This window comes from Homo sapiens, chromosome 4 (assembly GCF_000001405.40).
Source record: "Homo sapiens chromosome 4, GRCh38.p14 Primary Assembly".
In the NCBI taxonomy this organism is placed as follows: domain Eukaryota; kingdom Metazoa; phylum Chordata; class Mammalia; order Primates; family Hominidae; genus Homo; species Homo sapiens.
Window position 1 is genome coordinate 8,064,994 of NC_000004.12, and position 21,583 is coordinate 8,086,576.

Below are 21,583 nucleotides of genomic sequence, written 5' to 3' on the forward strand. Positions count from 1 at the left end.
AATCCAAGTGCTCTCAGAGGTCAAGGCAAGAGGATCACTTGAGGCCAGGAGTTCAAGACCAGCCTGGGCAACATAGTGAGACATGGTCTCTACAAAAAAAATTGAAAAATTAGCCAGGCATGGTGGCTTGCACCTGTAGTCCCAGCTACTCAGGAGGCTGAGGTGGGAGGATACTTTGAGCTCAGGAGCTCTAAGTTACAGTGAGCTCTGATCATGCCACTGCACTCCAGCCTGGATGACAGAGTGAAACCCAGACTCTTACAGAAACGTTTTAAAAAGGTGGGCAAAGGACCTGAATAGACACTTCTTCAATGAAAATATACAAATGGCCAACTGGTACATGAAAAGATGCTCAACATCCTTGTCATTAAGAAATTGCAAATCAAAACCATAGGAGACACCACTTCATACCCATGAGGGTAGCTACAATAATAACAACACAGAAAGGAAAAGAAAAGGTGTTGGTGAGGATGTCAAGACACAGGAGCCCTCGTGCGCTGCTGATGGAAACACAAAACAGTGCAGCTACTGTGGAAGACAGTGTATTGGTTTTTCAAGAAGTTAAACACAGAATTACCAGGAGCCAGGAAATTCACTCTTTGGCATTTAAAGAAAATGAAGAGAAAAGAACAAGAGAAATGAAAACTTGGCTGGGCACAGTGGCTCAAGCCTGTAATCCCAGCACTTTGGAAGGCTAAGATGGGCAGATCACCAGAGGTCAGGAGTTTGAGACCAGCTTGACCAACATGGTGAAACGCCATCTCTACTAAAAATACAAAAATTAGCTAGGCTTGGTGGCGGGTGCCTGTAATCCCAGCTACTCAGGAGGCTGAGACAGGAGAATTGCTTGAACTTGGGAGGCGGAGGTTGCAGTGAGCTGAGATCGCGCCACTGTACTCCAGCCTAAGCAACAGTGCAAGACTCCAGAAAGAAGGAAAGGAAGGAAAGAAGGGAATGGAAGGGAAGGAAAGGGAATGGAGGGGAGGGGAGGGCAGGGGAGGGGAGGGAGAAAGGAGGGAGGGAGGGGGCCGGGTGCGGTGGCTCATGCCCGTAATCCCAGCACTTTGGGAGGCTGAGGCGGGCGGATCATGAGGTCAGGAGATGGAGACCATCCTGGCTAACACGGTGAAACCCTGTCTCTACTAAAAAAAAATTACAAAAAATTAGCTGGGCATGGTGGCAGGTGTCTGTAGTCCCAGCTAATCAGGAGGCTGAGGCAGGAGAATGGCGTGAACCCGGGAGGCAGAGCTTGCAGTGAGCCGAGATAGCGCCAGTGCACTCCAGCCTGGGCAACAGAGAGAGACTATGTCTCAAAAAAAAAAAAAAAAGAAAAAAGAAAGGAGGGAGGGAGAGAGGGAGGGAGGGAGGGAAGGAAGGAAGGAAGGAAGGAAGGAAGGAAGGAAGGAAGGAAGGAAGGAAGGAAGGAAGGAAGGAAGGGAGGGGTGGTTCCACATAAAAACCTGTACATGATGTTCACAGAAGCATTCTATATAACAGCGAAAGGATAGAAACAGCCCCGGTGTCCATCGTGGATGAAGAAATAGTGGCGTATCTATGCCAGGGAGTATTATTCAGCCACAGACAGGAATGAAAGCACTGATCCTGCTACAACATGGATGAACTCTGAAAACGTGTGCAGTGAAAGATGCCAGACGCAAAGCCACGGGGTAGAGGATTCCTTCACTATGGAAAATCCGGAGCAGGCAAATCCATGGAGACAGAAAGCAGGTGAGTGGCTGCCAGAGGCTGGGGGAGGAGGGAATGGGGAGTAACTGCCTAGTGGGGGTGAGGTTTCCTCTCGGGGTGACGAAAAAGTTTTGGAACTAGAGAGAACTGGAAGTTGCATGATATTGTGAATGCACCAAATGCCACCGAACATTTTAAATGGTTAATTGTACGTTACGTGAATGTCACCTCAACTTTTTAAAGAAGAGCTGATCCCCAAATGGCCAACTTTTGAATGACCAACCACATACCAAGCATTGTGTCAGGTGCTCTGCCTGCCTCAAGTTCATCCTCACAGCAGCCCCTTGGGGTGAACACTCTTGTCTATCCTTGTTTTCCAGAGGAGGAGGTCGAGGCTCAGAGAGGCGAGGGGGGCCTACCCAAGGCCATGTCATTGAGAGAATGAGGAGCCAGGATCCAAAGAAGGCAGGCTGGATGCTACCTCCTGGGAAGACTCCATGGGCCATGGGGACAATCGGGGACATTTGTGGCTGAGCCCCTGCAGGTCCGGGGCCTCAGAGCACGGAATTAACTGCATCCTCAGCTCACCGGCTCCCTGTCAACAGCCCTCCTCCCACACCCAACGCACAGACACAGGAAAAGGAAGGGTCGCAGAGCTCCTAGTGAGCTGGGGGCAGAGACGGAAGCCTTCCACGCTGTACACGCCACGGCCTGGCCCATGGCACAGAGGAGCAGCCTGGGGTCTGAGAAGTCACACAGCAGAGTTAGAGCCAAGTCTGAGCCAGTGCCAGCTCTGCACCCTTTCCAGTGATGGCACAGCCGCGTGGCCAGGGGCAGCCGGCACCCTCACTCACAGTTCGGGCCACTCATAAAGTATGAGAGTCAACAGCCAAACCCTTACATTTTAAGGACGCTCCATGTTCTGGAACAATCCACCCATGGTGGAGGGGCAGGGCTGGAGGGCCTGTGTCTTCAGGCTCTGAGGAACACCACGGGGCCGTCAAGTGGACGGAGCAAATGTGCCTGCCGGTGCTCAGGCCTGTCCCAGGCTCGTGGCCAAAGCCATGGAGGTGACAGATTCCAGCCTGAGATTCTCTCTTCCTGGCTGTGTGACTCAGGCCCTGTGTCACGTGCTGGGGTTCAGTGTCCCCGTGTATAAGATGGAGAGGACTGTCCCTCCCTCTCAGGCTGGGGTAGTATAACCGGGCTCTGTGATTCCAGAGGACATTTAGCTGGAAGGTACCGGCATGGCACAGGTCACCCCCTCCCTACCCCATACTTCCTGCTGAGAACCAGTGGGTCACAGGCGGCCATCGATGGGCTGATGGAGTCAAAAATTAGAAGTGTCCTCATTCCCTGTGTCACCTCCTGTTGTCATTCCCATTCTCTCATAGTGACTGGGGCGTCCCAGTCATCGGTACAGTGGCCACATCCTCCCAATTGCCACCCGAGGAGTGCCTGAAACCTCGGCCGCTGGTTGTTCCAGTGGGCGCACGGCTCCCCAGGCAGGCGGAAGTCCCACCCTCGCCCGCGTGGGGCTCATGATGGCTCGGATTTCAAAATATATGAGCAACTGAAAGACTTTGCAGTGAGTGGTTTTAGGAAGACATCTTGTGCCTTCTGAAGGGTGGCTGTCATCTTTAATAAGGCAGAACGAGGTGCCAGGGAAGCACACCCACAGCCTGTGGTGGCTCAGGGTGACCACAGGTCCTCAGCCAGTGCTGGGTCAGAGGGCAGCGGTTTAAGGGACGTCCCCACTGTGACGTGCAGAATAGGGCCAGCAGGACAGAGGTGTGGCAAAGCTGTCCCGCCTCCAGAAACCCCTCCTGTCCCAGCAGAGGAGAGCTAGTGGTCCCCCGTCTTTGGGCTTCTGGAGAATGGATCAGCCCTCTCTGCCATGAGCCCCTCACACCTGAGGCAGGAGGCCCCTTTCCTCCCTGAATCCAACCACGGAATCCGGGTGCAAAGGCCTCCTCTGCCCACTGGAGAGCTGCCACACTTCCCCTTGCTTCTTCCCCGCTGCGGGCTCCCGCTCAGCCGAGGGCCAGGGCTGGGCCTGCGGGCTGCACCTCCCTGCAGCAGGCAGCTCCCAGCAGCTGCTCCTCACAGTCATCGGCCCAGTTCAGAGCTCTAGTTTCCTTTCTGAACTTCCAGAACTGAGTCCAGGTCTTAAAAGACCTAATCACCATGATGCACAAACAAAATGAAATTTACAAAGAAACAAATGAAAGCTGTGAGCAGGGGATCCCCCTGGGGGTGTTTGGCGGCCAGGACAGAATCCCCAGAATCCCCAGGGGCCACTGCATCCCAGAAAGAAGGGCCCCACTCTGAGCAGTGCCCAGCAAGGCCCCTTGAGATCTGGGCCCTCCCCAGACCTTCCACACCCTCTGGAACACAGCTCCTCTTGGCCCCAGGCCTGTCTAGCACACTCACTCCTGGCCCCACTGCCTCTTCCTCTCTACCCAGCTCCCGTTAAGGCGTGAGCCTCAGGAGCGCTTGGCCCAGCGGCCTCATTCTCTGCTGTACCCCGGCGTCCCCTCCAGCAGTGGCACTGGCAGACGAGCCGTCCAGTGGGGACGTTCTGAACAAGGCAACACGGTGCCCAGGAGGCCAGCCTGAGCGGCCCTAGAGGACCAGAGAACTTGACTAAGTTTGGGAAAGGCTAGGGCAGAATCCCGCCTGTGGATGTTCACACGCACTGCAGCGTGTCCAGGCTCGGAGGGTCCCACCACGAAGACAGTGATGAGCACATTGCCCGGGGACCAGGGGACGCAAGGGAGGACACGACAGGCCAGCGTGGAAGGGTAGGACCAGGGGCTCTGATGCGCTGCCGGCATGAGGCAAGGCAGGAAGGCAGAGATGCGGCAAAGGGTGTGTGCGCATGTGCGTGTCTGTGTGTCTCTGTGTTTTGCCTGGTGTCTGTGTGGATGTCTTTCCGTGTGTCTGTGTGTGCATCGTGTGTGCTGTCTTGGTTGTCTGTGTGCATTTCTGTGTGTCTCTGTGTGTGTTTGTGTGTTGTCTGTGTGTTGCTATGTGCAGTCTCTGTGTCCATGTGTCCTTGTGTTGTCTGTGTACGTTTCGGTGTGTCCATGCATGTTGTCTGTGTCTCTCCGTGTGCTTGTGTGTCTCTATGTGTTGTCTGTGTGTACGTGTCTGTGGGTGCCGTGTGTGTTTTCTGTGTGTCTGCGTTGTCGATGTCTGTGTCCCTGTGTTTATGTTGGTTGTGTGTGTCATGTGTTTCTTTCTGTGTGTTTATTTCCATGTGTGTTGTTTGTGTGCCTAAGCGTGCTGTCTGCACGTCTTGTATGTGTATGTGATCTGTGTGTCCTTTTGTGTGTTTGTGTGTGTCTATGTGCTTTGTGTGTGTATGTATCTGTGTATCTGAGTGTGTCTGTGTCATCTGTGTCTTTCTGTGTGTTTGTGTGTCTGCATGTGTCTATGTATGTCTACAATCTGTGTCTGTGTGTGTACGTCTGTGTGTGTATGTGTGTGGCCTGTGTGTCTGTCTGTGCTGTGTCTGTCTTGTGTGTGTGACCGCGTGTGTCTGTGTTTTGTCCTGTGTCTCTGTGTCCACGTGTGTTGTCTGTGGGTTGTGCATGTGTGTGTATATCTCGTGTGTGTCTGTGGATGTGTGTATCTGCACGTGTGCAAAATCTGAAAGGATGACTTCTAGATGCCAGCAGTAGTTAGCTGTGGGGGTGGCACTATGAATGTTTTGGCTTATTTTATGATAAACAGGTATTCCTTTTGAGTGAGAGAAGTTGGGGACTTGAGAAGTCGCTATCACCTCTACCCATCAGAAATGCTGTATTTATTTGGAAACACGGTTTGTTTTCTCCCAGTGACGAGAGTCATCCGTGCTTCCTGCCCCAAGACAGACAGGAGGAAGCAAAGAACAAATGTCCCGCAATTGCAAGAATGATGTTCAACTGGTCCCTGACCCAGGGCAGAGAGAGCCTCGGCACCCCCTTTCCTGCCAGCCTCCCCTGTGGCAGGGATCTGTCACCTGCGTCTCTGTGAACCCAGCATCTAGCCCAGGGTGGAACACACAGTGAGGCCAGGAAGGGTCTAGAAGGGAGTGGTTGACTGGGGAAGGAAAGAGAGGAGGGGCAGAGGGAGGGAAGGAGGAGGGGAGGAGTAAAGGGAGGAGGAATTGATTCGCAGAACCAGGGGGACGCTGGGCTTCTTGTTACCGGGGAGACGGCCCCTGCACAGACTGCACGAGGCACACCGGTCCAGACCTCAGCCCTGACAGGGTTAACAGAGGGTGGGGCTGGAAACAGGCACCCCCACTCCCGCCCACCTCTTCAGGAGGTGTTGACAGGGCGAGGGAGGGATGGGGTTCCTGGAAGGTGGGGCTCTGAACACATGGCCAGTGGCTTCTCCTCATCCACACCTCCTCCCTTTATGCAGCCCTGGTCTAGAGGCTGGTCACACCGCTGTCCCCGTGGATTCGCCAGCTGAGTCCCAGCTCCCTCTGTGGGGGCAGCGCCATCCGTCCCCAGCAGCTGGCTCTGCCACAGTTGCTGCCAGGCGCCACCCACCTCTGCTGCCCCAGCCCAGTGCCTCCCCCATCCCTAGCCAGCCATCCCGGCCCAGGAGTGGGACACAGATATCAGCCCCTCCCATGCCCCCACAGGACCCCAGCAAGGAGCCGGCTCATCAGGACAGACACCCAGAGATGGGTGGGATGCAGGCCAACATGCATGAGGGTGCTGCACGTTTAGGAGAAACTGAGGGAGAGACGGGGAAGGAAAACCCCACTGTCACCACCAAATGCACATTTCGCGGGCAGGCGGGCACTGCGGGCGCCAGCACTTAGGATGGCACCATGCCCACCACACGCAGACACAGCACAGGCGAGGGCTCGGCTGGCAGTGGGAGCCTGGGATGCTCTGTGCTTGGGTCCTGCAGAGGGAAGCCAGGGGCACTGCCAAGCGCCTTAGGGGGCAAAACGGGGGTGGGGGAACAGGTGGCTCCGAGGTCTCACACCTGACTGCTCTGTCCCCAAAAACCCACCCACCCGCAGCCCCTCCTGGCCCCTGTGAGCCCCCATCAGCCCCTTGGAGTTGCGGGCCAGGTTTCCTACCTGCACAGCTTCTGGGCACCAGAGCCCAGTCTGACGGCCCTGCTTGAGTGCCGTGCTCCCTGGAACGTGTGCCTGCGAGGGTGGACACCCTCACCTTCAGCCAACAGTCTGTCACCTGCTCCTGCTGCGCCCTGGGAGTCCACTGTCACCCAGCGGGGCACCGGCACACTGGGCCGAGCATCAGGCAGTGCCACCGCGGCGGCGGCAGCTCCCCTTCTGCGGAGCCAGGCTTGTCCCCGCCCGCAGTTCCCACCTTGCACCCGGGGAGGATGCTCAGAGCTGTGCAGAGCCCGCCGACTCAGCCACGCCGCCACAGACTCGCCTCCCCGGCAGAGGCGAAAACAAAAGCATTAATCTTCCCCAGGAGGCCCTTTCTCCTCCACAGCAGAGGAGGAGGAAAAAACCCAGACCTGTTTTGCTCCTGTTCCTCGAATTAGGATGGTTCCTTCCCGATGAACCAGGGCGCACCCCAAATTCTGTATTTGGCATTAAATATCAGGGATGCTTACATTGCAGACATGGGACGCTTGCCTCCCAATCCATCAAGGGGAGGGGGGGCTGCCTGATGAAACCCACTTTGCTCGCCCAGTGCGGAGCGTGCCTGAGGCAGAGCAGCCCCAGTTTGGGTGGGGTCTGCCCCCGACCCCAGGCCAGGGCCTCTCTGGTGTGGGGGCTGCTGCCCATGGGTGTCAGAAACGCGGGGCAGGTGAGGCTCCTGCACCAGCAGCAGCAACAGCCGCAGCTGACTGCACCCAAGATACACCCCACTTTAGGCCACCAGATGTTCCAACGTGGCTATGCTATTAAGCCAAAAATGCAAACCTGCATCTGTGCACCAGGAGAAGACAAAGGGTTGGGGGAAACCTGCGCACCCCGGGCTCCAGTCTGGCTCTGCCACCGACTCTCAGTGGCTGATGGCCGGGCACGTGGGTGGATCCAGCTGGACGCCCAGGTGAGTGGTGGGAGGCAGTGTGTATGTGGCGGAGGGAGAGTGCCTGCATGTGGTGTTGGCCTGGCTGAGCATCAGAGCCACCAGCGCATAAGAGGAGCAGGGTCAGGGACAGCACCTGAGTGGGGAACGCAGGCCCTGCAAGGCCCCTGGGGAAGTAGGGAGGGGTCGGTAAGAGGAGGCTTAAAGGCCTTAGGGTTTCCTGCACACAAAGCCCCCGGATCTGCAGAAGAGCAGGGAGAGTACAGGTGGAGGAGCACAGAGAGGGTCTCTGAGAGGCAGTGGGGCCGGTGCGAAGGGAGAGGAGAGGCTGAGTCTCTGCAGTGGGGACTTCCATACCAGGCTGCTGTTTTTAACGGGAGAGATGAACACTCTCTAAAACGCCACTGGAGGGGAAGCCCTGGCAGGTAAGGTGGGGAAGATGGGAGGAGACAGGATCAAGCACGGCAGAGGGGGCGATGGCCAGAGCGGCTGGACCCAGGCACAGGCGTGGTAGGGGTGGGGGTGGTGTGCGGGAAGCAGCAGGGCAAGGGAGAGAGTCAGGATAGAAATGGGGTCTCATAGAGAGTGAGCCACCCAGGCCGTCCTCGCTGAGGTCTGGCTGCCAACTCTTTGTCAAGCAGAAGACAAGGCCGCTGTGTGGGCAGGGAGCGCAGTCCAGGACAGTGTGGAAGGTCTGGGCTGTTCTTCGCGGAGAACGGAAACGTGGCTTTGGACTGCCAGGCAGTGCATCAGGCCAGGCTCCATCCTATCCTGCAGGCTCCTCCAGAGCCCTCACCACCTCCTACAGGGTGGGGTGTGCCAGCAAGGGCTGAGCAAGGGGAGGGGTGAGGGAGGGAGAGGCCACGGCCCCAGGAGAAGGGGAGAGAGGAGAGGGCCAGGCAGGACGTCGTCCCTGGGATGCATCACTGGCTGTAAATATCAGATATGATCGCCACCCAGGAAAATACTTATAGGACAGACAGAACATCTGCAGCCTTATGTGATCCACCCGCACAGAAGGCACAAAGACCCTAAATAGATAAGCAGGCAACATTTACAACAGATAACTGAAATACAAGAATTAGGAATGGCTACAAATGACAAAAGGTTGGGCATGGTGGCTCACGCCTGTAACCCCGGCATTTTGGGAGGCTGAGGTAGGCAGATCACCTGAGGTCGGGAGTTCGAGACCAGCCTGCCAACATGGTGACATTCTATCTCTACCAAAAATACAAAAATCAGCCAGGCGTGGTGGCTCACGCCTGTAATCCCAGCTACTTGGGAGGCTGAAGCAGGAGAATGGCTTGAACCCAGGAGGTGGAGGTTGCAGTGAGCCGAGATTGCGCCACTGCACTCTAGCCTGAATGACAAGAGTAAAACTCTGTCTCACAAAAAAAAAAAAAAAAAAAAAAAAAAAAAGACAAGACTCAGCCTCACTAGGGATGGAAGAAAGGCAAATTAAAGCTAGACCCTGCAGGGTGCGGTGGCTCACACCCCTAATCCCAGCACTTTGGGAGGCTGAGGTGGAAGGATCACTTGAGGCCAAGAGTTCCAGGCCAGCTGGGGCAATACAGCAAGATCCCTGTCTCTAAGAAAATTTTAAATACTATCCAAGCATGGTATTGCATGCCTGTAGTCCCGGCTACGTGGGAGCCTGAGGAAGTATTGCTTGAGCTCAAGAGGTCGAGGCTACAGGGAGCTATGACTTCATCACTGCGCTCCAGCCTGGGTGACAGAGCAAGACCCCATCTCTAAAAAAAGAAATTTAAAAAAGCAAGATCCCATGTTTCCACCTATCAAATTGGCAAAGGTTTAGAGGAGAAATACTATATCTTGTTGACAAGATTGTAAATCAGAATAATCTTTCTAGAAAGCAATTTATAGTAACCATCAAGAACACTAAAAATGTTCCTAGTTTTTGACTCAACTTCTACATTTCTGTGAATATATCTTAGGAAAAATTAGAAATGCAAACAAAGCATTATTTTTAAAGGGTGTTCGCTGCAATGTTACTGATGGTTGTAAAAAACTGGAAGGCGGCATTGTGTCCAGCCATAAATGATCAGCCTGGTAATTCTTTTTTTTTTTTTTTTTTTTTTGAGACAGAGTCTCGCTCTGTAGCCCAGGCTGGAGTGCAGTGGCGCAGTCTCGGCTCACTGCAACCTCCACCTCCTGGTCCTGGTTCAAGCAATTCTCCTGCCTCAGCCCCCTGAGTAGCTGGGATTACAGGCACCCACCACCATGCCCAGCTAATTTTTGTAGTTGTAGTAGAGACGGGGTTTCACCATGTTGGCCAGGCTGGTCTTGAACTCCTGACCTCGTGATCCGCCTGCCTCAGCCTCCCAAAGTGCTGGGATTACAGGCATGAGCCACCGCTCCCGGCCCAGCCTGACAATTCTGAGAGTCATGATGAAATATGATGCGAGAGTAAAGCTTATGTCCGAACGAACCTTGAAAACATCAAGCTATGTGAAAGAAGCCGGTCATGAAAGACTACATATTTCATGATTCCATTCATATGAAACGTCCAGAAGAGAAGTCTATGGAGACAGAAAGTAGAAAGTAGAATGGTGGTTGCCGAGGGCTTGCGGGTACGGGGAGTGACAGCTAAAAGGTATGGGGTTCTTTCTAAGGTGAGGAAACTGTTCTAAAATTGACTGTGGAGATGGCTGCAAATATCTATGGTTATTGATAAAGAAAACCATTGAATGGGCTGGGTATGGTGACTCACACCTGTAATCCCAGCACTTTGGGCGGTGAAGGCAGGTGAATTGCTTAAGTTCAGGAGCTCGAGACCAGCTTGGGTGACATAGTGAGACCCTGTCTCTACAAAAACTACAAAAATTAGCCAGGTGTGGTGGCGCACACCTGTAGTCCCAGCTGGTCGGGAGGCTGAGGTGGAAGGATCACTTAAGCCTGGGAAGTGAGGCTGCAGTGAGCTGTGATGACACCACCGCACTCCAGCCTGGGCAACTGAGTGAGAACCTCTCCAAAAAAAGAAAAAAAAGAAAACCATTGACTTGTGCCCTTTAAATGGGCAAATTGTGAACTCTATCTCAATGAAGCTATTTAAAAAGACCCCACAATACCAAAAGAAGAAATGCTTATGGGGAGTTTATAATAAACTGGAAATCTGCTAAATAGGAAATATGAGTTGGGAAACACAGGGATGTTTGGGATACAACATGGCACAGATGGTTTGAGATCAACTATGATTACATGGAAAGAAAAAACGAAAGAAAACTGGCCAGAAAGTTAGGCTAACTATGATTGCATAGTCAGTGGTTTTATTTTCTTCTTAGCACCTCTCTGGACTTTGCAAACTTCCTCACATCAATGAGAATGGAGGACATCCCTCTCAGAGCCACTCCACAGAGGAGTGCAGAGCTCTCTGCAGGGCCAGGACCCTTCCCGTGGGGGCATCCAGCCCCCTGGAGTCTGCAGCTGGGGAAGTGAGACACAGTGACTGGGACTGGGATGGGTGTGGCCACCCGTCTCCCCGCCAGGTAGAGTTGCTGGATGCGGGTTTGAAAGAAGGTGGCCTGAGGCCAGGTCCAGCTCTCCGCCAGCTGCCTTTTTCTTGCCAGAAAAGCCACTCTGCGCTCACTGTTCCATTCCCCTCCGCATTCTGAATGCTTTTGGGTCCTGGGTACCAGCTGTGGGAGCTGCAGAGGGGAGCCTTGGGGATCCAAGGGTACACCCCATTCCACCCTCTCCAGACTGGCCTCTGCGGCAGCCAGTGGGAGCTCTCTAAAACTCCAATGTGGCCCAGCATTCCCTGCACCAAGGCCTTCCTCAGTGCCCCTCCCTACAGCCTCATCCCCAGCCCCACCCTATCCTCCCAGCCAAACCCCAGAGGCCAGCTCCTGCAACCTCCTCGAGAGGGGCTCCCACACCAGGCACAGCCCCTCTCCATTCTCGAGACCCCCCTGGTCACCTGTCGCTTCCCCCATGGACCATGGGCCAATCCAGGGATGGGGACAGTCCACCTGCCTGACCAGCACCACAGCACTGAGGCAAGGAGGGGCTGCAGGGTTGGGGGGGGTCTGTGAATCCAGAGGGTGGGCTGCAGGGTGGGGGGGTCTGTGAACCCAGAGAGGGTGGGCTGCAGGGTGGGGGGTCTGTGAACCCAGAGAGGGTGGGCTACAGGGTGGGGGGGTCTGTGAACCCAGAGAGGGTGGGCTACAGGGTGGGGGGGTCTGTGAACCCAGAGAGGGTGGGCTACAGGGTGGGGGGGTCTGTGAACCCAGAGAAGGTGGGCTGCAGGATGGTGGGATCTGTGAATCCGGAGGGTGGGCTGCAGGATGGGGGTTGGGGGTCTGTGAATCCGAAGGGTGGGCTGCAGGATGGGGGTTGGGGGTCTGTGAATCTGGAGGGTGGGGTTTGGTCCTAGTTGCCCCATGGGATTTATCTTATTGAACAAAACGCAGAAAAGGGCATAATGTGTAATTTTCACACAGGGAACATGCCCACATGACTACCTCCCAGACCAAGGCACACAAAGCTATCAGCACCTCAGAAGCTCCCCCTGCATAATTGCTATCTGCCCTGCCTCCCGGGCGACCCCGCTGTGCCTCCTATGGGGACGAGGTCCTGGTGTGGGCTCTCTTCCATCTTCCGTGCCTCTGAGTCCCAATCTAGACAGCAAACGGCTGGGCCAAAACATCTCAAGGCACTTCCCACATGCTCTGAATTTGTCAAGAGGCACAGAAGAGAGCATCACAAGGCAGGCTTCCTGGAGGAGGTGGCACTGGGCAGGCCCTGGACAGCTGATGAGGGTGTCCATTGGCTGAGCTGGCAGGAATAGGGAGGTGAAGCTGCAGCCAGACAGATTCTTGCACAAACACACACAAATCTCCCAGTCAACTCCCAGGGGGGCAGTTAGGCCCTAGCTCAGAGCGGGCAGGGGCCCGGCCCGCCGCGCTTACCTCCAGCACGCGCCCCGTGATGTATTTCTCACAGCTGTCACAGCGGATGCCGAACTTGGCGTGATAGTCAGCTTCGCAGTAGGGCAGCCCATCCCTGCAATGAGACAGGCAGTCAACACAGGGCGGGTGTCGCCCGAGGACCCTTGAGATCTAACAACCCTCACCAACAAGAGAGTCTGCCCTCAAAGTGGGGGAATGCCCACCTCCTCCTGCTCAGGTAACAATGCTTCCAACAGGCAGTGTCATTGGGCTCTCACAGACACCAGCCCCATGAGAAATATGATGACAATGGTCCCATTTCACAGACGGAGAAACTGAGGAGCACAGGCCAGACCACCTGCCCAGTGGGTGGGAGGGGCTGACAGCAGCAGCTTCTGGGAAACGAGAGCTGCTTCTGTAGACCTGGCTCTTCTTTCTGGCTCCTTCCATCCAAAGTTCAACATCTGGGGTGCCTTAGAAAACTGTGAGCCAAAGAGGGGGGACAGTAAGGGCACCCACATTGGGAACAGGGCTGGAGAATGACAGAAAGCCCAGATGAGGGTGTGGTAGGTTAGGACAAGACTTTACTGTCCCCCCTGCATCCTGGCCTGCATCACAGCCCCCGAATATGAGGGGTGACAAAGGCTGGCTCTGGCCACACTTGGAGAGGCCTGGCCTTCCGCAGTGCAGGAAAGAGCAGGAGGGCTGCACGTATGCGTCCATCCCCTCTCCCCACGCACACGTGCGGCCTGCCTGCTATGTGCCAGGTGCATAGGGCTCAGGGAATTGGTGTCGAATGCCCATCATCCTGGGCCTGCCCCTCCAGCAGAGGCTTCCTCCGAGTCTCCATAAATGAGCTACAGAGAAAAGCCGTCTGCGGGGTCATCCCTGGCACAGCTCCTGAGCTGACCTTCACACCCGTTATCATGATTATTAAGAGATCAACATGCCAAGATGGATGGCTGTGCAGATGTGGGGACAGCAGGTCAGCAGTGGCCACACTCGGTGTGGGGAGGCGCTGCTCTGCTGAGCCGTGGTTGAGTGAACAGGCCTGTGCTCAAATGCCACATCCCAGCTGTGTGACCCTGGGCAACTCACTTAACCTCTCTGAGCCTCAGCTTCCCCAACTGCATAATGGGGGAAATAATAGTAAGGACTAATGAAGAGAATGGCAGGCACTCTCCAAGGTGGCTGAAGCATTGTCATTACTAACCAGGGCTGTCCTCTCAGCCCCGGCCAGACCCAGCACGTGTGGGGGTGACTGGCACAGAGCGAGGTACCTGCCACTCCAATGCGCCCCTTCCAGCATCGCTGAAGTTGCTGTAGTGTTCCAAATTTGGTTTGAGTTTTTGCACAGCTACTAGAGAAGGGAGGATTTCTCAGGCTGTCATGGATTAGACCCCAGCTCACGTTCTTTTCCTCCAAGCTCCGGGCTGTTGCTAGGTCCCCAGGATGTGGGGTCATGAGCCCCGGGCCTGGGTGCCCCTCTCTGGCTGCGGCCTGGAAGTGGCCCACAGCTGGGATAAGCCATCGCTCAGAGAGTGGCAGCCCTTCCTTCCATGTGAGGGGGAGACATACAATGAGTCCTCAGGCTTACTTCCAAATGCCGCTGACCTCAGGACTCCCGTAATAACCCACAAACGAGTGTTATTTGCAGCAAATGGGAAGTTAAAGATAACATCTCCATGGCAACACCAACGCCCTCCTTGTCAATTCTGGGACAGCTCTGGAGGCTGCTAAGTAACATGCACGGTGTGGGTGAGCTGCCAACGCTGCGGGAGGGGCCTGCCGCCTGCACGGGGCTGGGCATTTTCATTTTATATTAAAGTGCTGCGTGCACCACACCGGGCGGTCCCTGGATGACCGTGACACAGGCGGGGAAACTCATGCACCGCACAGGTCCCTCACCCTGGGTGCAAGCTCACCTTGGTTTGGAGGTTTTACTTAAAATGATGTCTTGAAGATCATTGCAGATTCCCCAGCAGTTGTAAGAAACAATACAGAGAGGTCCCATGTACCCTTCGCCTAGTTTCCCCCAGTGGTGATGCAGAATTAGTATACACCCTCAGCCAGGAAGTCAACACGGGCACATCCACCGACGTGATTCAGGTTCCGTGTGACATGTGCTCGAATGTGCATGCATATGCGTGCGTGCGTGTGTGTGTGTGTGCGCGCGCCTCACTCCATGCAGTTTTATCACAGGGCGTTTTTCATCCCCATCAATTCCTGTGATGATTTTGTTCCCATTGGGCATTGAGAACAAGCACAGCATAGATAAAAGTGGCCAGAAGACCCTCTAGCTCCCAGGAAGGGGCCCTCTGCGCTCAGAGGAGCTGCCCGCCTTCAGCTCGTCCACATATTCGCCCCTCACCTGCACCATGCGGAAGGCTTGCCTGCCTCAGGTCCCCAATCCCCCAGGGTTAAAACCGACCCCCAGCTCCTGGCCCTGAGCTGCCTCCATTCAAGGCCATTATCTTCCCAGAAGCCTTCCCTGGTTCCCAAATCGGCCACCACCCCAGTGTGACTGCACATTTGTGGGACATGTTTGGTGTCGATGGCAGCTGCCCCAGGGGCCCCCGCTCTGCAGAAGACAGAGTGCGTGGCTGTGGGGCCCCAGCCCTGACACCTGGGATGGGTCAGCCCCCTCTCCTCATCTCCATGCTGGCTTCTGCTGACATTGCTTCACCTCCTGCAGGACATCCAGGCGCCGGAAAGGCAGCTGATCCCATGGGGATGGTGGAGGGGGACTGCGACGGGGAGGGAAGGCACTTCAAAAACTCAGCACTGGCAGCCCTGGTAGCTCTGCTTCTCATCCAAAAAAAGGAGCCGGATGCTGCAAATGCCGTTAGAGAAGCCAGGGCTGGCCAGGGAAGGGGGACATAAGGCTGTTGGGACAAATTCGCTGAGCTCTGAGCCATGCTTCTCACCCAGCAGCAGGGCAGTAGTAGCTGTGTGAGGAATAGGAGAGACACAGAGAGGGTGGCGCTGGGGACACGTGCAGAGTGTGGGACCCCCACAGAGTAGGGAAGCCTGAGCGGAGGCTCTCACTAGAGCCCTCCCCCCACTTACTTGCTGATGTACTCGGCATTCAGGAGCTTCCCACAGCTCTTGCACTTAAAACAGCCCAAGTGCCAGTGCTTGTCCAAGGCTACCAGGGCCTGGCCATTCTTGATTTCTGTGCCGCAGCCCCCACAACCTGGAAGAAAGAGAAGAGAACACAGACACCCCCACCATTGTGAGAGGTGTTGGGGAGGCCTCCTGCTCTCCACACTCCGTGAAGGCCCCTGGGGCAGCCGGGAGGGGCGGGACAGACCAGCAGCCACAGCGAGTGTGCTTGGAGGAGTCTCTTACACAGCAGTCTCTGGAGCATAGGGAAGGCAACTGGGGAAGTTTGACCCTGCATGCATTGAGCACTGACTGCATGCAGCCTGGGCTATGAGCTGGGGAAACCTAGATGAAGAAACAGAGGTCCTGTCTTGCAGGAGAGCGGAGTTGGCTCCTGGCACCGAGACGTACCAGGTTGAACCCAACTGTGACTCGATGTGCCCCCCAAAGGGAAATGGACCATATTAGAGAGGGCCGAGCCAGCCCCCAGCCCCCAACCCCGTCAGCCCTGGGAGCTCTCCCGCCACACCCAGCCAGCCAAACCCACCTTCTCTCTTTCTGCCATCCCTACGGTGACTGGCGCTCTCCACCCCGTGGCCACCAGCCTCGTGGGACCCTGCCTGGCCTCCTGGTGCCCTCTCTGTCCTTCCCAGCCGTGCCTGCCCTGCTCACTTGTCCTGTGTCCCAGGGCCTGGTCTTTGTGCACAGGGCCTCCAGGTTTTGGCCCTGCCCTGAGCCAGCGGCCCACAATCCCTCCACCCTATGAGCCACCATACCGGGGGCTCCACAGCCAGCATCATGGGCATGCTCCCCTGGCAGAGCGGGTGGAGCAGGCTGGGGAGCTGGGGAGAGCCTGGTGCACGAGCCTGAGCGGGGTGCGTGTGAGTGCATGTGCATCTGTGTGCATAGGGTGTGACTGTCTAAGTATGTGGATGTGTCTTATGGGACTGTGAGCATTTGTATGTCACCTGAGTCTTCCTGTGAGTCTTCCTGTGAATATATGAGGTCAGGGGCGGGGAGTGGGAGGCAGAGCGGCAGAGACGCTGTGACAGCATCCCCAAGGGAAAGGGCCTCTCACAAGGTGAACACCTGGTGACAACAGCAGCAACTGGGACGGAGCAGGGCCCACTGAGTCAACCACCCAGGTGTGCATTGATTCATGGATCACACACGTCCTCACTCCAGGGACCTGCACCTGTCATAGCTGAATGTGCGTCAGTGTGTGTGACTGGTGCGTGAGTGTGTCTACGTATGTGTTTGTGTCTGCATGTGCGAATATGTCTGCACGTGAGAGTGTGTCTGTGTGTTTGTCGAAGTGTGTGTCTGCGTGTGTTTAAGGGTGTGGTTGTGTGTTGGGGGCATGACAAGGGAAGGGCCTCGGACCCCGTAATGGACAGGGAGGAAGAGGGTGTCTGACAAACAGGGCCTTGCCGCCTGCAGGAGCCCCTGAGTAATTCACAGACCAAGCAGGGACCCCTCGTGCCCAAGGAAACCTCTACCCAAGATGGAAAGAAGGTGGCCCCAGGGCCCGACGTGCTGGGTACAAATCCTGGCCCCCACTATGCGCTGGGTCACACTGAGCGTATTCCTCCTGCGGGAGCCCCCATTTCCTCATCGTGGGGTGGGGTGATCACCTCCTCACTTGGTGCCTGCCCGGATCCAGTGCTAATTTACACAGAAGACCTGGCCCAAAGCCTTGCGCATCCCGGGTGAACAGTGAGCATCGGCGAGACCCCCTGTGGGCCTGCTGTGCGGTGAGAGCTCAGCAGAGGCTGCTTCCCTGCGTGGCTTCATTAGTTTCTTTTGGCAGAGACCTGAGTCATATTGTTTTTAACAATTAAAACAAACGAACACTCACAAAGCCGTTGGTCAAGCTCAGGATTTCCTAAGTGACCACACTGTGCACATTCACATGCTACTTTGGAAAACAGCCAGAGAGCAGATTCAAACTCTGAGGGAAAGGGGGGCCTCTTACTCATTTCAGGACCCTGGATGCCCAGCAGAGGCTGTGGGCTTGAGAAACACGTGGGGAATGAATGAATGAATGAATGGGAACCAAAGTGAGAGGATGCCTCCGCCCTTCTCAAGTCCAGGAGGCGACCCCCACATCACCCAATCTGCCGCGCTCCTTCCTGTGTCTCTGCAGAGTCAGACGACGCACAGCCCTGACTTAGCCTCCTGGCTTCCCCCACTTAGCAGGTGATGAGGCACATTTTGCAAAGCTCTGCATCAGTGGCTCTCAACTTGGGGCACTTTTGCCCAAGAGACATTTGGCAATGTCTGGCGACCCTTTTGATTGTCATAACTTGGAGGGGGTTCCAGGCATCTAGTGGGCAGTGGACACAGGATGCTAACCGTGCCAGGACAGCCGCCCTCAACAGGGCTCTCTGGCCCCACATGTGAATGGTGCTGGAGCTGAGATCCCCGGCTCCAAGCCTCTGTTGGCTTCTCTGCATGTCAAGGGAGCACAGCACATGGGGCTGTGTGTCGACCAGAGGACAGACAGCAGACAGCAGCGGTCAGATCCCAGCAATGCCCCCCACCGGCTGTGACCTGGGGAAGTCACTTCACCTCTCTGTGCCCCTGGAATGAGGGCACGTGTGATCCGTGAATAAATGCACACACGTTGACCGGTGAGGTGGGCCCACCTCTGCTCTCACTGCCACTGCTGTTGTTGCCAGGTGGTCCCCTCACGGGTGGCCTGCTCCCTCTGTGATGCCTTTATGGGCATCTCCGCCACTCTGCCTCCTACCATATTGGCCGGCGCCCTCCCCTGCCAAGAAGCTCCCTTGACCTTGAGCTCCAAACTGCAGAGGGGATGTGAACCTCACACCTGCCTCGGCCCCCTCATTCTCCTATCAGCAGTACACGTGGAGATGAGAGCAAGGTGCAAAAGGAGCGTTGCCATGGAAACCACATCCTCACTTTCTAAACACATCCGGAGCTCCACATTGCTTTGCGGGCTCTGCGCATGGCAGCTCAGAGTCCTGTGTGACACAGGCTGTGGACTAGAGCTGTCAGCGGCAGGATGTCCCTAGCAGGGCAGAAGGGGCCCCAGGACCCCCCAATGTCAGCTGGCCACGTGCCCGTACATCCTGGTTGGCACTGCCATCAGCAGCAATGGCATAACCCTCCTAGAACCTTCCACTTTCCTATTTTCCCCAAAAGGCTCCCTCTTCCACAAGATGTGGTCATGGTGGGGGTGGTTGTTGGGGGGTGGCTAGGATGTGCCAGGCAGCCTCCTGGAGCCTCAGCTGGAGCTCAGGGGGTGCAGGTGCAGGAGCCAGACCCCCTCTGCAGCACCTCAGGTCTAACTGGGGGTCAGGGGAGTAGGGGGGAGTCTCAGATTCTAGATCAAATCTGAGACTGAGTTTTGGAAACAAGGACTCTGACCGAGCTCCAAAACTTGAGAGTGATTGAAAATCCACGAACTTGGCTTGCAGCTTCATTTAGGAACCTGTACTGAGGAAGAAAAGCCGCTGGAAAAGATAAAACACGTTCAAGTTCGGCCCCAGCGCACTGCGGTCAGGACTAGACCGGGACAGGCCTGCCATGGGCCCAGAGCGGGACGGGGGCTCCTGCGAGGATCCTGGGTTTACCTCCCAGGCGCACCCAGGGGTTCTCCTGTTTCCTAGGCAGCCCGGGAGCAGTGGGAGCTCCTGGGTTTAACCCCGGCCTCACCTCGAGGCTCTCCTGTTTCCCAGGCAGCCAGCAAGGGGGCGGGGGCTCTGGTTTGGGCACCCACCCTCTTAGCACTACCCTTGCAGGAGCAAAGGACACAGGGGCTCCACGTGCCACAGCCCAGGTGGTCAAGCCCTGTTGCTGGAAGAGTGGAGGACCCCAAAGCCCCATTCCTGGGCCTGGGACCTTAGAACTGCATACATCCCTTCCTGCCTCTTCATCCCTCACTCTGGTGGGGCCTCCCCAGGTCCAGGGGATGGAGCTAAAGAGCCAGGGGCGGCCAGGCCCAAGAAGTGGCTGTGGGGTCTCCTCAGCACGGATGGAGCTGCTTGCCATCCCTTTTCCCCAGGCCAAGCCCATTTTTCCCAATTGCCAGCCTGCCGCCCACGCCCCTGCTGGCCCCACACCCACATCAAAGGCCCAGAGAGGGGACACCTCTTGCCCTCGGCACACAGTGGTGAATGCAGGGTCCACCCAGGGTATCTGGGCTCAGAGCTGCCTCTGGTTCGGCACGGCGCTCGCACTCTGCGACGGCCGCCCTGTGACAGGCTCGTGACCAGCAATGGGTCAGCACTGGAGAGCTGGGGGCCTCACGGGAAGGGGCAGAGCTTCAGGGACACAGGGGACCTCCCAACGAGAGTGGTGGGGAAGCTGAGGCATGCGGGGTGTTCGCTGCTCCTTCTGGAAGAAGCCTGTGCGGCCCACCCTAAAGGATTTCTTGTTCCTAAGTGGCCTGCTTGGGGCAGCAGAGGGAAGCTCAGGGCCACGGGACTCAAGCTTGAGCTCTGCCTCAAGAGCCAGCCACTCTCCCCTCCCCAGGGAGGGGCAGCCACACAGGCAGCCATGTGAGGCCCCACCCTGCTGCCCCCCGGCCCAGCAAGCTGGCCAGGCAGACGGTGCTGCTTCCTACATTCTGGACTGACTTGACTCTACCCCACTCCACAACCATCTATTGCTCCTCACGGCCTCCAGATGTACCGAGAACACCACGGCGTGGCTTTGGAGGAAGCTGCCATCTGGTGTTGGTGTCTCAGTGCCATTCCCATTCCCCGCCCCCACGCTGCAGCCCCGTCCACTCACACGGGTCTGGGGGTGCCCACGCTGCAGTCCCGTCCACTCACACGGCTCTGGGGGTGCCCACGCTGCAGCCCCGTCCACTCACATGGCTCTGGGGGTGCCCACGCTGCAGCCCCGTCCACTCACGCGGGTCTGGGGGGTGCCCACGCTGCAGCCCTGTCCACTCACGCAGGTCTGGGGGTGCCCACGCTGCAGCCCCGTCCACTCACGTGGGTCTGGGGGTGCCCACGCTGCAGCCCCGTCCACTCACGCGGGTCTGGGGGGTGCACCCAGCACATTTCACAGGTGTTTAGTCTTTGTACTCATCTGTAGCATCCTCCCCCTTCCAGACCCACCTGCTGGAATTCAGCCTGCGTCTCCAGTTTCAGAACCAAGGCCACCTTGGACAGCCTCTAGTCCTAGTGGGGTGAGCTCACTTGCTTTGGAGTTGAAAGGCCTTGGCCCACCCCTCGGCACTTCCGCCCCCTGATGGACAGAGCACCCAGCACACCCACCCCTGCCAGGTACAGGGCACTCCTGCACCTGCAGAAGAGCTCCTCCAGGCACAGCTGCTGAGAAAACTAAAGGAGGCTGGACTGGGAAGACTGCAGACATCCACGCAGGAACCAGGACTGCTGCTCAATGCTTTCTAGGCACAGAAATGGTTCTAAGCTCAGGATTCTCACCACAGGCTGGGGGAAGGGGCAGGTTACATTATTAGTTATCTAGGGGTCCGGGGAACATTTGTTCTTTGAAAATGCAAATTTGATATTTCAAAATAAATTTACATTTGGAGAGGGCACAGCCTTTCTGCCAAGGGTATTTTTGAAAACCTCAAAAAAAAAAAAAAAAAATCTCAGACAGTGATTCTGTGGTTGGTCATATTTCCATCCCCTCCCACTTTTTTTTTTTTTTTTTTTTGACATTCTCACTCTGTCACTCAGGCTGGAGTGCAGTGGTGCAATCCCAGCTCACTGCAATCTCTGCCTCCCAAGTTCAAGCGATTCTCCTGCCTCGGCATCCTGAGTAGCTGGGACTACAGGTGGGCACTACCACACCAGGCTAATTTTTGTACTTTTATTAGAGACAGGGCCTCACCATGTCCAGGCTGGTCTCGGACTCCTGGCC

General features: G+C 56.2%; 1 protein-coding gene across 51 annotated transcripts in view, besides 3 other annotated features; it reads right to left on the bottom strand.

Moving 5' to 3' along the window:
• Positions 1-21,583, bottom strand: part of ABLIM2 (actin binding LIM protein family member 2) — a 193,487-nt gene that overhangs the window by 99,667 nt on the left and 72,237 nt on the right. For 50 of the 51 annotated variants that reach the window (NM_001130086.2, NM_032432.5, NM_001130085.2 and 47 more), the window contains exons 5-6: positions 15,683-15,809; positions 12,635-12,728 (exon numbers count right to left, since the gene is read on the bottom strand). In NM_001130086.2, coding sequence (NP_001123558.1) covers positions 12,635-12,728; positions 15,683-15,809 — 221 coding nt within the window. Of the gene's footprint in view, positions 1-6,775; positions 6,996-12,634; positions 12,729-15,682; positions 15,810-21,583 lie in introns of those variants that run through there. The other variant, NM_001286688.2, reaches the window with a different exon arrangement.
• Positions 6,279-7,142: an enhancer, noted in NCBI's record as "H3K4me1 hESC enhancer chr4:8072999-8073862 (GRCh37/hg19 assembly coordinates)". NCBI's record gives its function as "activates a minimal SCP1, AML or CMV promoter by ChIP-STARR-seq in naive H9 embryonic stem cells {active_cell/tissue: H9 hESC(naive)}" and the evidence as "EXISTENCE:reporter gene assay evidence [ECO:0000049][PMID:30033119]".
• Positions 13,733-14,232: an enhancer, noted in NCBI's record as "H3K4me1 hESC enhancer chr4:8080453-8080952 (GRCh37/hg19 assembly coordinates)". NCBI's record gives its function as "activates a minimal SCP1, AML or CMV promoter by ChIP-STARR-seq in naive H9 embryonic stem cells {active_cell/tissue: H9 hESC(naive)}" and the evidence as "EXISTENCE:reporter gene assay evidence [ECO:0000049][PMID:30033119]".
• Positions 20,260-21,168: an enhancer, noted in NCBI's record as "H3K27ac-H3K4me1 hESC enhancer chr4:8086980-8087888 (GRCh37/hg19 assembly coordinates)". NCBI's record gives its function as "activates a minimal SCP1, AML or CMV promoter by ChIP-STARR-seq in naive H9 embryonic stem cells {active_cell/tissue: H9 hESC(naive)}" and the evidence as "EXISTENCE:reporter gene assay evidence [ECO:0000049][PMID:30033119]".